The sequence below is a fragment of the Homo sapiens genome, chromosome 9 (assembly GCF_000001405.40).
Source record: "Homo sapiens chromosome 9, GRCh38.p14 Primary Assembly".
Lineage (NCBI taxonomy): Eukaryota > Metazoa > Chordata > Mammalia > Primates > Hominidae > Homo > Homo sapiens.
Window position 1 is genome coordinate 137,110,510 of NC_000009.12, and position 15,319 is coordinate 137,125,828.

Below are 15,319 nucleotides of genomic sequence, written 5' to 3' on the forward strand. Positions count from 1 at the left end.
GTGGGCCCCACAGACAGGAAGGACGGGACATACATGGCCAGGCCTCCAGGCGTTTATTCAGCCCCTTCCCTCTGCCGCCAGCTGCTTGAGTGAAGCCCCCACTCCATGAGGAGCCTTGAGACCCCTCCAGTCCTGTGCTCAGAGGCTGAGTCTGGGCCCCCCACGCAGAGCTGGCTGCTGCTCACGCCTGGCTGCCTTTACCCACTCGCCGATGATGGTGGCCTCCAGCTTCCGCGCCTCAACCACGGAAGCAGGATCTTCTGGGTGGGAGGCTCTGGGGAGCGGGCACAGAGGGGGCCCGTCAGCCCCAGCCCTCGGTGAGCCTGTCCCGCCCGACCCGCGACCACCGCCAGGCCACCTCCCTCCGCACCTGAGGTCGAGGTGGTGCGCTCCCCCCTGGATGGTGACGGCGATGACTGAGGCACTCAGGTTCCTCCGAATCTGTGGTCAGTGGAAAGAACTCCATCAGGTGAGGAACGAGGCAACTGCCCAGCCTCCGTGGGCCCATTGGAGAGGAGACGTGAGAGGGCGAGCCGAGACTCAGTGCCCATCAAGCAACCAGAGAGAACCAGCCAGAGACGGAGGTGGGAAGTGACGAGATGATGGGGGCAAAACCGGGTGAGACAGGAGCAGGGAAGGGGCAGGTGTGAGGCCTGTGATCCCAGCACTCTGGGAGTAAGACAGGAGCAGGGTAGGGGCAGGTGAGGGGCCTGTGATCCCAGCACTCTGAGGGTGAGACGGGAGCAGGGTAGGGGCAGGCGAGGGGCCTGTGATCCCAGCACTCTGGGGGTGAGACGGGAGCAGGGTAGGGGCAGGCGAGGGGCCTGTGATCCCAGCACTCTGGGGGTGAGACGGGAGCAGGGTAGGGGCAGGCGAGGGGCCTGTGATCCCAGCACTCTGGGAGGCCATGCGGGGAAGATCGTTTGAGCCCAAGAGTTCGAGACCAGCCTGGGCGATATGGTGAGACTGTGTCTCTACAAAAAAATATTTTTTTAAATTAGCTGGGCATGTTGGTGAGCGCCTGTAGTCCCAGTTACTGGGAGGCTTGAGCCTCAGAGGTCAAGGCTGCAGTGAACCCTGATCTCGCCACTGTATTCCAGCCTGGGCGCCAGAGAAAGACCCTGTCTCAAAAAAAAAACAAACAAACTAACGGGGTCATAGGGCCCAGGCCAGGACTCACCCCGCCCCCTGCCCAGGGGTCCAGGTTCCCGTTGGAGAAGATGATGTTGCTGGCGGCTCTGAGATCTGCAAGGGGCAGAGAAAGTTGTGATGTGGGCCCCTCACGGGGGCTGTGAGCCATGGGCAGGGGGTGCAGAGCTCGGGGCAGAAAGCAGGACGCTGGCCCACCCCCCCTCAGCCTTACCACCCCCCCAGAAGCTGGTCAGCAGCCAGTCGGGCCGGGGCCACACGCCCCAGGTGTCCAGGCAGTACCGCTGGCGGAGCTCGTCAGTGAAGGGCAGGTCCGGGAACATATCGGTCACATTGTTGCTGGCGAAGGTCAGGTTGATCTCGGTGCAGGCCTGCAGGTGCCCCAGCCTGAGTCAGGCCAGCCCACGCCCACCCTTGCCCCCGAGTGGTTCCAGGCCACCCACACCCCCACACCTGGTAGTCCCAGGCCCTGGCGTCGGGGCCGGTGCCGCAGCCAGTGGGGTCAGCACAGCTGTGGTAGAGCCGGTAGATGTCGTAGCAGTGCTCGGAGCCCGAGGCGTTGTAGACCAGCCCTGGGGAGGAGAGGCGCTGGGGCCCAGCGGCCACACACAGACACACCGCGGGCTCCGGCCACCAACCTGTCCCCCCTCGGAATGGTCCTGCAGGGGATCTGGGGCTCTGGGATCTGTAGGTCCCAGTGAGGAAGGCCCTCCAGGCTACCTGCTTGGAGGTCGGCGGTGTCTGTGCTGCCAGCCCCGGGCCTGACTGTTGAGGGCCCCCCCGCTCTCCACGGGGCAGGGTGGGGCCTGCTGCCCTCTGTTGCCCTCCATGCTGGGGACCCCAGGGGCCCCTTGGGCAGCACCCACCAAGCTGGGCCTGGCTACAGCCAGTGCTGAGAGGGTCCCCAGGGACGGCCCCTGCCTCCCCCAGGGTTTCTGGGAAGGTCGTGCTGTCCACCCCACCACAGCCCTGGGGCAGGAGGCAAAGCCCCTGGCCGGGCTGCGGATCCTCGCCCCACCCGGCCCCAGGACCCAAGCCAAGCCTGGGGTCTCCACACTTGCCCATCTGGGGCCGGGGGAAGGGCACCTGCCAGTGCTCGCAGCCCCGTGATCCTCTGGGCCTCACTCAGCAGCCGATCACAGCCCACCTGGAGTGCAGGGGCAGCGGCGACTCAGCGGGGTCCCCTCCACCAGCTCCGCCTCCCTGGCTCCCAGGATGAGGGTCAGGCCGCTGACCACCAGCCTCGGGACACTCCAGCCGGCCTCTCCCTGCGCCCTGGGAGGCGGCGCCTCACCTTGACGGGGTTGGCAGGGAGGGGACCCAGGAAGTCAGTGGGGTAGGGGTAGTCCATCATGGCCAGCACGGTGAAGGCATTCCGGGCGAACATGAAGAGCTGGGTCAGGTCCTTCTCGTCTGACAGCGGCTGGCAGGTGCCGAACTCCCAGCGGACCGTGTCGTAGGCTGCGTGGAAGGGGCAGAGACTTGAAGTTTGGGCATAGCTGGCGCTGGGGCGGGTCAGGCAGTGGGAGGCGGTGGGAGGACCTCACCTCCCTGTAGGAACAAGTCCTTGATCTGTCGGAACGCTTCCCGCACACCCTGGGTGCATTTGGGACTCTGGCCCTCAAAGTCCTGGGGGAAAGAGACCGTGCTGACTGCAGCTGCTGTCCCTTAGGGGGCCTGGAGGACCCCAAGCCTCACTCACCGCCGTGACGTCCCGGAAGAACTGGTTGGAGTCGCCGAGGCCTGCCACAGCTAGAACGGGCGCGCTGGCCGCCAGCGCCCCCGCCACCAGGTGGGGATACTTCATCCTCAGGTAGGCACTGAGCATCCCCCCATAACTGGGTGAGGGACACAGGGTTAGGGCTGCTGCCCCCAACACCCCATTTCCTCTTTTCCTCCTCAGGGGCCCACAGGTGCCACAAGGAGGACGACACTTCTGAGACCCACAAATTCCAACCCTGGGCCAGGTGCGGGTGCAGCTCTCACTGGGAAAGGCCGCTAGTGTGGCCGCACATCCAAGCTGAGCAGGTGGCTGGGAGGACAGGTGGGAGGGCTTCCTGGGGGAGGCAACACTAAGCCTGGAACCACTGCCTGAGGCCTTACGAAAAGGCAGCGGTGGGAGTCAGAGGGGAGTGGGGAGAAGGGCTGGGGGCGCTGGGTCGGGGCAGGGGAGGGAGGGGGTGCGGAGGCCGGGGGAGGCGCCCACCTTCCACCGAAGGCGATGGCGGGGGCATCCTGGGCCCCGAGGTCGCGTCGTAGCGCGCGGAGCAGCTCTGCGAAGTCGGCCAGGGCCTGCTCCACCGTCAGCAGCTCCGTGTGCCCGCGCTGCGTGGACTGCGCACCGAACGGCAGCGACTTCCCGTAGTAGCGCTGGGGGAACGTGCCATTGAGCCCGGCCCCGCGACCCCGCCCGGCACCCGCGTGCCCCGCGACCCCCGCCCGCGACCCCGCCCGGCACCCGCGTGCCCCGCGACCCCCGCCCGCGACCCCGCCCGGCACCCGCGTGCCCCGCGACCCCCGCCCGCGACCCCGCCCGGCACCCACGTGCCCCGCGACCCCGCCCGCGACCCCGCCCGGCACCCACGTGCTCCGCGAAGACCAGTAGAGCCCCCCGCTCGGCCGCCAGCTCCGCGACGAAGGCCGAGTTGTTGGCGAAGGCCCACACGTCGCCCTCGTTCCCAGTGTAGAAGAAGATGGGCCCCTCGCCCCGGACCCAGAACCTGTCTGTGGGGAGGGCGGATGAGGCGAGGGTGCCGGGGGGCGGCGGGACGGCGGGGGCGGCCGGGCCGGGGCCGGGGTCTCACCCGACACCAGGAAGCGCTGAGGGAAGGTCTTGTTGCCGAAGCGCTCGAAGTTGAAGTGGTCCAGACGCTGCTGGAAGAAGCGCTCCTGGAAGCCGGGGTCCGGGGCCCTGCGGGCTGTGGGGGGACGCGAACCTCAGAGGCGGGGCCGGGACCGGGGAATGGGCCGGGGGGCGCCGCCACTCACCCCCCGCCTGGAGGCCGCGCAGCCCGAGCGCCAGCAGCAGGACCGGGGCCCAGGGAGCGGAGCCCATGTCGCCTTCCGCGGGCGCCCGTCACGTGGGCGGGGTCACGGGGCCGCCAGGGCGCGCTCCTCCCTCCAGGCCCCACGTGTTTCGGGCGCCCGCGGTCCCCACGGAGACCGTCGCTGCTTCAGCGCCGCGCCGGGGCTGTGCCCCCCAACACCCCGCGCCCCGCGGCCGCTGCCCAGGGGTCCTTCCCGGGCACGGCGCGGGGAAGCAGAGGGCCCCCGGGCCATCTCCGCGGCCTCCCGCCCCACTGGCTCGTCCTCCTACCGCGGCCCCATCCGGAGCTGCGCTAGGGCGAGTCCCTGCTGCGCCCGCCAAGCCTCCCCAGCACTTGCTCCTGGCAGGTGCCCCACTCCAAGGCAGGGCCGGGAGAGTGGGGGCCGTTCTGCTGCCCTAAGGGCGGGAGGGAGAGGGTCCCAAACAGAGTGCTGGCCCCCCGAAGAAAGCAACCCAGGGTTTGTCCAAGCGATAACGGGCTGGGCTTGGCGGGGCGGGGCCTCGCAGCGGGCAGGAGTGTGGGGTGCCCCTGGAGCGTCTGGGCAGGGCCGGGATGTGGCCGGGTAGCTCCCAAGAGCTGGGAATCGCCACCTGCCCTTCCGACTGGCACCCAGTGTGCCCACACAGCCCTGCAGGGACAAGGGGGGACCAGAGGCCTCTGCTGGGAGCTGGGGCCTCCTCCCTGGGGAGCACCCAGAGGATGGAAGAAGTCACCTTTCCCCAGCGTCCAGTTCAGGGAGTGGGTGAGGGGGCCGTAGTGGTGGGTGCCAGACTAGCTACGTGGAGTCCTGCTGGGGATGTACATGGGCCGCTAGCCAGGCCCAGAACAGGTGCAGGGGCAGCAGGGGCTCAGCTACAGAGAGTTACCCTGTCCTTCTCCCAAGACTACCCTCGGCCAGCATGACCCTGCCCTGCCCATCCTGTGTGGGGCTGAGCGGAGAAGACCGGCCACTTCCACAGCCCCTCACGCCATGGCCCTCCCGTGCCTCACACAGAGGCACCCCCCATGGTGGGTGACTGGTGGCTGGGGCCCTCAGCATGGTGGCAGTGACCATCACGTCACACTGCAACACGAGGTCATCCAGGGCCACACACCGTCCCCACCACGGCCCTCACATCTGGGCCCTGTCCCATCCCTACGCAGTTCCTGGGGCTGCCTGCCGGGGCCCCCGCAGGACGGGGGTGAGGACAAACAGCAGACCTCCTTGGATGTGGAGGTACCCCACGGCGTCCCCCACCCCACACCTCTGCTCCTTTGGCTCCCTCGGGTGCCTTAGGTGGCCAGAACTCCACCAGCAACCCTCACCCAGGACCGCAGCTCTGGAGACGCCAGCTAGGCCGAGAGCTGGCCAGCTCCCCAAGCACACCAGAGCCTGGAGACGCTCCAGGCTTGGCTGGGCCCACAGAGGGGCCAGAGCCTCAGGGAGGGCTCCAGGAGCAGGGTTTCCAAGGAAGCCACTTTCCCTCTTGTCCACGGCCCAGGCATTGATGCCCCTCTGGGCAGCAGCCAGGGCCTCCCAAGCCGGGAAGGGTGGGCATGGGGCTACCCAGCATGGCTCTGCCAGGGGTGAGGGTGGCCACAGTCCCCTGCCCACATCCCTGTGCCCACAGAAACATATGCTGTATGGAATCAAGGTTTAAGGCATCTAGGCCTGTGCTGGTAACCTGTAACCTTAGCCCCATCCCTGTGCCCACAGAAACATGTGCTGTATTGACTCAAGGTTTAGGGGATTTAGGGCTGTGCAGGATGTGCTTTGTTAACAATGTGTTTGCAGGCAGTATGCTTGGTAAAAGTCATCGCCATCCTCCATTCTCCATTAACCAGGGACACAGTGCACTGCGGAAAGCCGCAGGGACCTCTGCCCAAGAAAGCCTGGGTATTGTCCAGGTTTCCCCCCAGTGAGACGGCCTGAGATATGGCCTCGTGGGAAGGGAAAGACCTGATCGTCCCCCAGCCCGACACCCATAAAGGGTCTGTGCTGAGGAGGATTAGTGAAAGAGGGAGGCCTCTTTGCAGTTGAGATAAGAGGAAGGCTTCTGTCTCCGACATGCCCCTGGGAACGGAATGTCTCCGTGTAAAACCCGATCGTACATTAGTTCTATTCTGAGACAGGAGAAAACCGCCCTGTGGCTGGAGGCGAGATATGCTGGCGGCAATGCTGCTCTGTTACTCTGCTACACTGAGATGTTTGGGTGGAGAGAAGCATGAATCTGGCCTACGTGCACATCCGGGCACAGCACCTTCCCTTCAAGCTATTTGTGACACAGATGCCTTTGCTCACATTTTCTTGCTGACCTCTGCTCTGCTGCCGCATTCCTCATGCAAAGATAGTGAAAATGGTAATGAATAAATACTGAGGGAACTCAGAGACCGGGGCCGGTGCGGGTCCTCCGTATACTGAGCGCCGTCTCCTGGGCCCACTGCCTTCTCTATACTTTGTCTCTGTGTCTTATTTCTTTTCTCAGTCTCTCATCCCACCTGACGAGAAACACCCACAGGTGTGGAGGGGCTGGCCACCCCTTCACTGGCACAGCAACCTGACATGTGAAGGGGCCCAACTTCTGCAGGAGGACCCCAGGTCTGCATCGCCAGGGCCCTCGTCAGCCTGTGCAGGGCACAGTAGGTCACCCAAGGGGCAAGTGAGCCTAGGCTGCCCATGCCTGTGCAGACACCCCCGATCTCTCTCTGCCCATCCCCGGAGCAGCACAGACGGGCAGGTTGGCTGCAGAGCCACCAGCTGAGGGGGTGAGAGGTCCCTGGGCAGGGAATCCTGGGAGCCTGGCCAGCAAGGGTGAGAGGCTGCTGAGCCCAAACCCTCCCCTCGAGGTCCATCTGCCCTCTCCAGACCATCTAGGCAGCTCCTCCACACCCCGATTCCTGCTGGGACACCCAGTCCCACCCTCTATGGCTCACAGACTGGGGGCCATGCCCGGCCACACATCACGTCTGTGCTGTCCCTCAGACTGAAAGGCTATCGGCGGGCGGCTGGCCGTGACCTACTGCATCCGCACTTGGGGCCGTGCTGGTCTGTGTGCTGAATTATACATAATATAAAATTGACCACTTAACCACTTCCGCGTGTGAAATTTGGTGGCATTAGGTACATTCCTGCCTTCACAACGCTGTGCACCGTCATCACTATTTTCCACTATCTCATCACCCCCAGTAGAAACTGTAGCCATTAAACAATGGACCCCAGCCCCTGGCACTCACCATTCTACCATCTGTCTCTGTGGCTCTGCTGACTCCAGGTACGTCATATCAGTGGAATCCTACAGCATTTTGTCCTTTTTTTTTTTCGAGACAGAGTCTCACTCTGTTGTCCAGGCTGGAGTGAAGTGACACGATCTCGGCTTACTGCAACTTCCGCCTCCTGGGTCCAGGCCATTCTCCTGTCTCAGCCTCCGGAGTAGCTGAGATTACAGGCACCCACCACCACGCCTGGCTAAATTTTGCATTTTTAGTAGAGACAGGTTTTCAGCATGTTGGCCAGGCTGGTCTTGAACTCCTGACCTCAGATGATCTGTCAGCCTCAGCCTCCCAAAGCGCTGGGATTACAGGCGTGAGCCACCACACCCGGCCTGTTTTAGCCATTGTGAATATTGATGCGATGAACATGGCTGTGAAATGCCTGCTTTTTTTTTTTTTTTTTTTTTTTTTGAGACAGTCTCGCTCTGTTGCCCAAGCTGGAGTGCAATGGCGCAATCTCAGCTCACTGCAAGCTCCACCTCCCGGGTTCAAGCAATTCTCCTGCCTCAGCCTCCTGAGTAGCTGGGATTACAGGCGCACATCCACATGCCTGGCTAATTTTTGTATTTTTAGTAGACACGGGGTTTCACTGTGTTAGTCAGGATTGTGGGTGGCAAGCCACTCAGGTGCCAAGGCAAGAGACCGAGGACATGAGCTGTTCCAGTATAATAAAATATAAAACAAGAATAGTTATACCAGATATAGATCTTAGATATGATTATATATGAATATAATTAATCATTAGTAGTACTTATTCTTTATTCCAATATTATAATAATCCTCACTCTACAATCATAACCTAGGAAAAACCAGGCCATACAGAGATAGGAGCTGAGGGGACATAGTGAGGAGTGACCAGAAGACAAGAGTGCGAGCCTTCTGTTATGCCAGGACAGGGCCACCAGAGGGCTCCTTGGTGTAGCGGTGATGCCAGCATCTGGGAAGACACCTGTTGCCAAGCAGACCATGGTCTAGCAGTAGCGTCAGTGTCAAGGGAAAACACCTGCTACTTAGCAGACAGGGAAAGGGAGTTTCCCTTTCCCCTGGGGAGTTTAGAGAAGACTCTGCTCCTCCACCTCTTGTGGAGGGCCTGACATCAGTCAGACCCGCCCGCAGTTATCCGGAGGCCTAACCGTCTCCCTGTGATGCTGTGCTTCAGTGGTCACACTCCTAGTCCACCTTCATGTTCCATCCTGTACACCTGGCTCTGCCTTCTAGATAGCAGTAGTCAATTAGTGAAAGTACTAAAAGTCTCTGATACGCAGAAATAATGGCGTAAGCTGTCTCTCTCTCTGTCTCCTCTCCCTCTCTCTGCCTAGGCTGCCAGGCAGGGAAGGGCCCCCGTTCAGTGGACACATGACCCACATGGCCTTACCTATGACTGGAGATGGCTCACACTCTTTACCCTGCTCCTTTGTCTTGTATCCAATAAATATCAGTGCAGCCTGCCATTTGGGGCCACTACCGGTCTCTGCGACTTGGTGGTAGTGGTCCCCCTGGCCCAGCTGTCTTTTCTTTTATCTCTTTGTGTTCTGTCTTTATTTCTACACTCTCTCATCTCCACACACGGGGCGAGACCCACTGACCCTGTAGGGCTGGTCCCTACACAGGATGGTCTTGATCTCCTGACCTCATGATCCGCCCACATTGGCCTCCCAAAGTGCTGGGATTACAGGCGTGCGCCACCATGTCCAGCCTGTGGTTTTGATTTGCATCTCCCTAACGATTAGTGATGTTGAACATTTTCCCTGTGTTGACTGGCCATTTGTATGTCTTCTTTGGAAAAATGCCTATCAAATCCTTCGCCCATTTTTGAATTGGGTTGTTTTTTGTTGAGTTTTATGATTTTTAAAAATCATCTGGATTGGCCGGGCATGGTGGCTCACGCCTGTAATCCCAGCACTTTGGGAGGCCGATGCGGGTGGATCACGAGGTCAGGAGATCAAGACCATCCTGGCTAACACAGTGAAACCCCGTCTCTACTAAAAATACAAATATATATATATATATATATATATGTTAGCCGGGCGTGGTGGTGGCTGCTTATAGTCCCAGCTACTTGGGAGGCTGAAGCAGGAGAATGGCGTGAACCCGGGAGGCGGAGCTTGCAGTGAGCCAAGATCACGCCACTGCACTCCAGCCTGGGCGACAGAGTGAGATTCCGTCTCAAAAAAAAAAAAAAAAAATCATCTGGATCTCGGCCGGGCACAGGGGCTCATGTCTGTAATCCCAGCACTTTGGGAGGCCAAAGCGGGCAGATCACAAGGTCAAGAGAACGAGACCATCCTGGCCAACATGGTAAAACCTCGTCTCTACTAAAAATACACAAATTAGCTGGGCGTGGTGGCAGGCGCCTGTAATCTCAGCTACTCGGGAGGTTGAGGCAGGAGAATTACTTGAACCTGAGAGGCAGAGGTTGCAGTGACCTGAGACCGTGCCATTGCACTCCAGCCTAAGCAAAAGATGGAGACTGTATCTCAAAAAAAAAAAAAAATTAGCCAGGCGTAGCGGCGGGCACCTGTAGTCACAGCTACTCGGGAGGCTGAGGCAGGAGAATGGCGTGAACCCAGGAGGCGGAGCTTGCAGTGAGCCGAGATCGCGCCACTGCACTCCAGCCTGGGCAACAGAGCGAGACTCTGTCTCAAAAAAAAATAACTAAATAATAAATAATCTAGATCTCAATCCCTTGTCATATATGTTATTTTCAAATCTTCCTGTGGGTTGCTTCTTTATTCAGTTGATACTGTCTTTGAAGTGCAAAAATTATTATTTTTTGAGACAAGAGTCTCACTCTGTTGCCCAGGCGGGAGTGCACTGGCGCGATCTTGGCTCACAGCAACCTCCCCCTCCTGGGTTCAAACAGTTCTCTGCCTCAGCCTCCAGAGTTTAGTTGGGATTACAGCGCCCGCCACCACGCCCGACTAATTTTTGGATATTTAGTAGAGACGGGGTTTCATCATCTTGGCCAGGCTGGTGTTGAACTCCCGATCCACCCGCCTCAGCCTCCCAAAGTGCTGGGATTACAGGCGTGAGCCACCGCGCCCGGCCGATGTGCAGAAATTATTTTGATGACATCCACTTTGTTGGTCTCTTGTTGCTTGTGCTTTTAGTGTCATTTCTAAGAATCTGTTGCCAAATTAAAAGTTGTGAAGGTTTATCCCGTTTTTTTCCTAAGAGTTTTATAGTTTTAACTTTTTTTTGTTGTTTTTTGGGTTTTTGTTGAGACGGAGTCTCGCTCTGTCACCCAGGCTGGAGTGCAGTAGCGCCATCTCGGCTCCTGCAACCTCTGCCTCGCAAGTTCAAGCGATTCTCCTGCCTCAGCCTCCCAGGTAGCTGGGATTACAGGCGCCCGCCACCACATCCGGCTAATTTTTGTATTTTTAGTAGAGTCGGGGTTTCATCATGTTGGCCGGACTGGTCTCTGTGGGCGGCAAGCCACCCAGGTGCCGAGGCAAGAGACCGAGGGCACGAGCTGTTCCAGTATAATAAAGAAAATATACAGAATAAGAATAGTTATACTGGAACTAGAATATAGATATGATGATATATGAATATTAATCATTAGTTTGTAGCATTACTCTTTGTTCCAATATTATAATAATCTCTGTTCTACAATTATAACCTGGGAAAAACCAGGCCATACAGAGATAGGAGCTGAAGGGACATGGTGAGAAGCGACCAAAGACAAGTGTGAGCCTTCTGTTATGCCCAGACAGGGCCACTAGAGGGCTCCTTGGTCTAGCGGTAACGCCAGTGCCTGGGAAGACACCCACTGCTTAGCAGACCAGGAAAGGGAGTCTCGTTTCCCCAGGGGAGTTAGAGAAGACTCTGCTCCACCACCTCTTGTGGAAGGCCTGACATCAGTCAAGCCCGCCCGCAGCCATCCGGAGGCCTAAACGTCTCCCTGTGATGCTGTGCTTCAGCGGTCACGCTCCTGGTCCACTTTCGTGTTCCGCCCTGTACACCTGGCTGTGCCTTCTAGATAGCAGTAGCAGAATTAGTGAAAGTATTAAAGTCTTTGATCTCTCCGAGAAATACATAGAAGAAATAATGACATAAGCTGTCCCCATTCTCTCTCCGCCTCGGCTACCAAATAGGGAAGGGCCCCCTGTCCGGTGGACACGTGACTCACATGACCTTACGTATCGCTGGAGACGACTCACACTTCTTACCTGCCCCCTTGCCTTGTATCGAATGAATAACAGTGCAGCCAGGCATTCGGGGCCACTACCGGTCTCCATGCCTTGGTGGTAGTGGTCCCCTGGGCCCAGCTGTCTTTTCTTCCATCTCTTTGTCTTGTGTCTTTATTTCTACGATCTCTCATCTCTGCACATGAAGAGAAAAACACACAGGCACAGTAGGGCTGGACCCTATAGTCTTGAACTCCTGACCTCGTAATCCGCCCGTGTTGGCCTCCCAAAGTGCTGGGATTACACGGGTGAGCCACCGCGTCTGGCCCAACTTTGTTCTTTTTCAACATTGTTTTGGATCGCTTAGGGAAGTATTAACATCTTAACAATGCTGTCTTCCTACTCGCGAACGAGGGGTCCTTTGCACTTATTCAGGTTTTCTTTAATTTCTTTCAGCAATGTGTTGTAGTTTTCAGTGTGCAAGTATTTCACCTCCTTGGTTAAATTTATTTCTTGGCATTTTACTTTTTAGATGTTGTTATAAATAGAATCGTTTTCTTCATTTCCTTTTTGGACTGTTCGTTGCAGGTGCACAGAAATGCAACTGATTTTCTTGTTGATACTACGCCCTGCAACTTTACTGAATTTGTTTACTAACTCTAGTAGCTTTCTTGTGTATTCTTTGGTATTTTCTATATGTAGGATCATGTTATCTGTGAATAGAGATAGTTCTACTTCCTTCTTTTCCATTTGAATGCCTCTTATTTCTTTTTCTCATGTAATTGCCCCTGGGCAGGACTTTCAGTACAATATTTAATAGCAGTGGTGAAGCAGGCATCTTGTTCTTTTTTTTTTTTTTTTTTTTTTTTGAAACAGAATCTACCTCTGTCACCCAGGCTGGAGTGCAGTGGCTCAGTCTCGGCTCACTGCAACCTCAGCTTCCTGGATTCAAGTGATTCTCCTACCTCAGCCTCCCGAGTAGCTGGGATTAAAAGCATGTGGAAAAAACACGCAGCTGGGGCCAGCGCGGTGGCTCACGCCTGTAATCCCAACACTTTGGGAGGCTGAGGCGGGTGGATCACCCAGTCAGGAGTTCAAAACCAGCCTGGCCAACATAGTGAAACCCCGACTCTACTAAAAATACAAAAATTAGCCGAGCATGGTGGCGGGCGCCTGTAGTCCCAGCTACTTGGGAGTCTGAGGCAGGAGAACTGCTTGAACCCAGGAGGCAGAGGTTGCAGTGAGCTGAGATTGCACCACTGCACTCCAGACTGGGCAACAGAGCGAGACACCGTCTCAAAAAAAAAAAAAAAAAAAAAAAACCACGCAGCTGGCTAGGTCACAGAGCGGTCAAGGAACCCTACGTTTCTGTCAGGACAAGAGAAACGGCAAGTGGAACTGGGGGACCATACTGTGTTTTTGGGGGTCAGATGGGTAAGGCGCTGACTTTGTAAGAAGGTTTGAGAAAAGCACATCTCACATGAGTGTGAAACCAAATCATCACACTGAGGAACTACAAAAAATCAGTGTTTACAGACGTTAATTTCCACCTGAGCACAACCTGGCTCCATCCCATACATTCTGGTAGTTTCTGCTCTCGTCTTCATTCATCTCTAAGTATTTTCTACCTCCCCTTGTAGTTCTTCTTTGACCCATTGGTTAAGAGTATGTTGTTTAATTGCCACAGATTTGCAAATTTTCCAGCTTTTCCTGTTACTCGTTTCTTTCTTTTTTTTTTTTTTTTTGAGACAGCGTTTCGCTTTTGTTGCCCAGGCTGGAGTGCAGTGAGGCGATCTCAGCTCACTGCAACCTCTGCCTCCTGAATTCAAGCGATTCTCCTGCCTCAGCCTCCCGAGTAGCTGGGATTACAGGCACGCATCACCATGCCTGGCTAATTTTTGTATTTTTAGTAGAAAGGAGGTTTCACTATGTTGGCCAGGCTGGTCTTGAACTCATGACCTCAGGTGATCTGCCCGCCTCAGCCTCCCAAAGTGCTGGGGTTTACAGGCGTGAGTCACCACACCTGGCCTCCTGTTACTCATTTCTAATGTCATTCCATTGTGGCTGAAAAACATACTTTGATGGATGGACACACTAACTCACACCTACAATCCCAGTGCTTTGGGAGCCCCAGGTGGGAGGCTCATTTGAGGAAAGGAGTTCAGGACCCACCTGGGCAACATAGTGAGATCCCATCTCTACAAATTAAAATTAGCCAGGTGTGGTGGTGTGCACCTGTAGTCCTAGCTATTTGGGAGGCTGAGATGGGAGGATCACTTGAGCCCAGGAGTTCAAGGCTACAGTGAGCTATGGATCATGTAACTGCACTCCGGCCTAGGAGGCAGACAGACACACACACATGTGCACCCACGTGTGTGTATATACATACTGTATTATTTCAACCTTTGAGGCTGGGCATGGTGGCTCATGCCTGCAATCCCAGCACTTTGGGAGGCCGAGGTGGGCAGATCACCTGAAGTCAGGACCAGCCTAACCAACATGGCGAAACCCCGTCTCTACTAAAAATACAAAAATTAGGCCAGGTGCTGTGGCTCATGCTTGTAATCCCAGCACTTTGGGAGGCCAAAGCGGGTGGATCACGAGGTCAGGAGTTTGAGACCAGCCTGGCCAACACAGTGAAAACCCGACTCTACTAAAAATACAAAAATTAGCCAGGCGTGGTGGTGGGCGCCTATAATCCTAGCTACTTGGGAGGTTGAGAAAGGAGAATAGCTTGAACCCAGGAGGTGGAGGTTGCAGTGAGCCGAGATCGCGCCACTGCACTCCAGCCTGGATGACAGAACTAGATTCTGTCTCAAAAAAAATTAAAAAATAAAAAAATTAGGCTGGGCGCGGTGGCTCACACTTGTAATCCCAGCACTTTGGGAGGCCGAGGCGGGTGGATCACGAGGTCAGGAGATCGAGACCATGGTGAAACCCCATCTCTACTAAAAATATAAAAAATTAGCCGTGGTGGCCGGCGCCTGTAATCCCAGGTACTCGGAGAGGCTGAGGCAGGAGAATGGTGTGAACCCGGGAGGCGGAGCTTGCAGTGAGCTGAGATCGCGCCACTGCACTCCAGCCTGGGTGACAGAGCGAGACTCCGTCTCAAAAAAAATTAATTAATTAAAAAAAAAATTAGCCAGGCATGGTGGAACATGCCTGTAATCCCAGGTACTCGGGAGGCTGAGGCAGGAGAATCGCTTGAACCTGGGAGGCGGAGGTTGCAGTGAGTCGAGATCACGCCATTGCACTCTAGCCTGGACAATAAGAGTGAAACTCTGTCTTAAAAAAAAAAAAAAAAAAACTTTGAAAATGAAAATATAGGCCAGGCGCAGTGGCTCATGCCTGTAATCCCAGTACTTTGGGAGTTTGAGATAGGTAGATCACCTGAGGTTGGGAGTTCGAGACCAGCCTGGTCAACATGGTGAAACGCCATCTCTATTAAAACTACAAACATTAGCTGGGCATGGTGGCACATGCCTATAGTCCCAGCTACTCTGGAGGCTGAGGCATGAGAATCACTTGAACCCAGCAGGTGGAGGTTGCAGTGAGCCGAGATAGCACTACTGCGCTCCAGCCTGGGTGACAAAGTAAGACTCTGTCTCAAAAAGAAAAAAAAAAAAAGAAAATATCTTAAGGCCAGGTGCGGTGGCTCATGCTTGTAATCCCAGGACTTTGGGAGGCTGAGGCAGGCAGATCACCTGAGGTCAGGAGTTTGAGACCAGCCTGGCCTAGATGGTG

General features: G+C 56.6%; 1 protein-coding gene, 1 long non-coding RNA gene and 1 other non-coding gene across 9 annotated transcripts, besides 2 other annotated features; 1 reads left to right on the top strand and 2 right to left on the bottom strand.

The window, feature by feature from the left end:
- On the bottom strand, positions 37-7,797 carry DPP7 (dipeptidyl peptidase 7). 7 transcript variants are annotated; one of them, XM_011518600.2, is made up of 13 exons: positions 7,410-7,471; positions 3,954-4,067; positions 3,734-3,869; positions 3,356-3,519; positions 2,852-2,987; positions 2,697-2,778; positions 2,444-2,610; positions 2,236-2,296; positions 1,603-1,721; positions 1,364-1,520; positions 1,181-1,245; positions 371-441; positions 37-274 (listed from the first exon to the last, which is right to left on the bottom strand). In XM_011518600.2, exons 1-13 carry the CDS (start codon positions 7,454-7,456, stop codon positions 139-141), a joined length of 1,455 nt encoding a protein of 484 aa, XP_011516902.1. In that variant the 5' UTR covers positions 7,457-7,471; the 3' UTR covers positions 37-138. The 7 variants fall into 7 exon arrangements, with proteins under 7 accessions (XP_011516902.1, NP_001425039.1, NP_037511.2 ...); NM_001438110.1 differs by lacking the exon at positions 7,410-7,471 and adding an exon at positions 4,138-4,224 and having other exon boundaries at positions 1,432-1,520; positions 3,734-3,873; NM_013379.3 differs by lacking the exon at positions 7,410-7,471 and adding an exon at positions 4,138-4,224 and having other exon boundaries at positions 3,734-3,873.
- Positions 3,920-4,069: a silencer, noted in NCBI's record as "silent region_20580". NCBI's record gives its function as "represses an Ori minimal core promoter by ATAC-STARR-seq in GM12878 lymphoblastoid cells {active_cell/tissue: GM12878}" and the evidence as "EXISTENCE:reporter gene assay evidence [ECO:0000049][PMID:35858748]".
- Positions 4,100-4,449: a silencer, noted in NCBI's record as "silent region_20581". NCBI's record gives its function as "represses an Ori minimal core promoter by ATAC-STARR-seq in GM12878 lymphoblastoid cells {active_cell/tissue: GM12878}" and the evidence as "EXISTENCE:reporter gene assay evidence [ECO:0000049][PMID:35858748]".
- On the top strand, positions 4,290-7,269 carry LOC124902314 (uncharacterized). Its single transcript, XR_007061874.1, has 2 exons — positions 4,290-6,535; positions 6,662-7,269. It is a non-coding gene; the product is annotated as an uncharacterized LOC124902314 (long non-coding RNA).
- A 5,202-nt stretch (positions 7,798-12,999) lies between the features above and the next one.
- LOC124902353 (small nucleolar RNA U13) lies at positions 13,000-13,099 on the bottom strand. The gene has a single exon (XR_007061927.1). It is a non-coding gene; the product is annotated as a small nucleolar RNA U13 (small nucleolar RNA).
- Between the last annotated feature and the right edge of the window lie 2,220 nt (positions 13,100-15,319).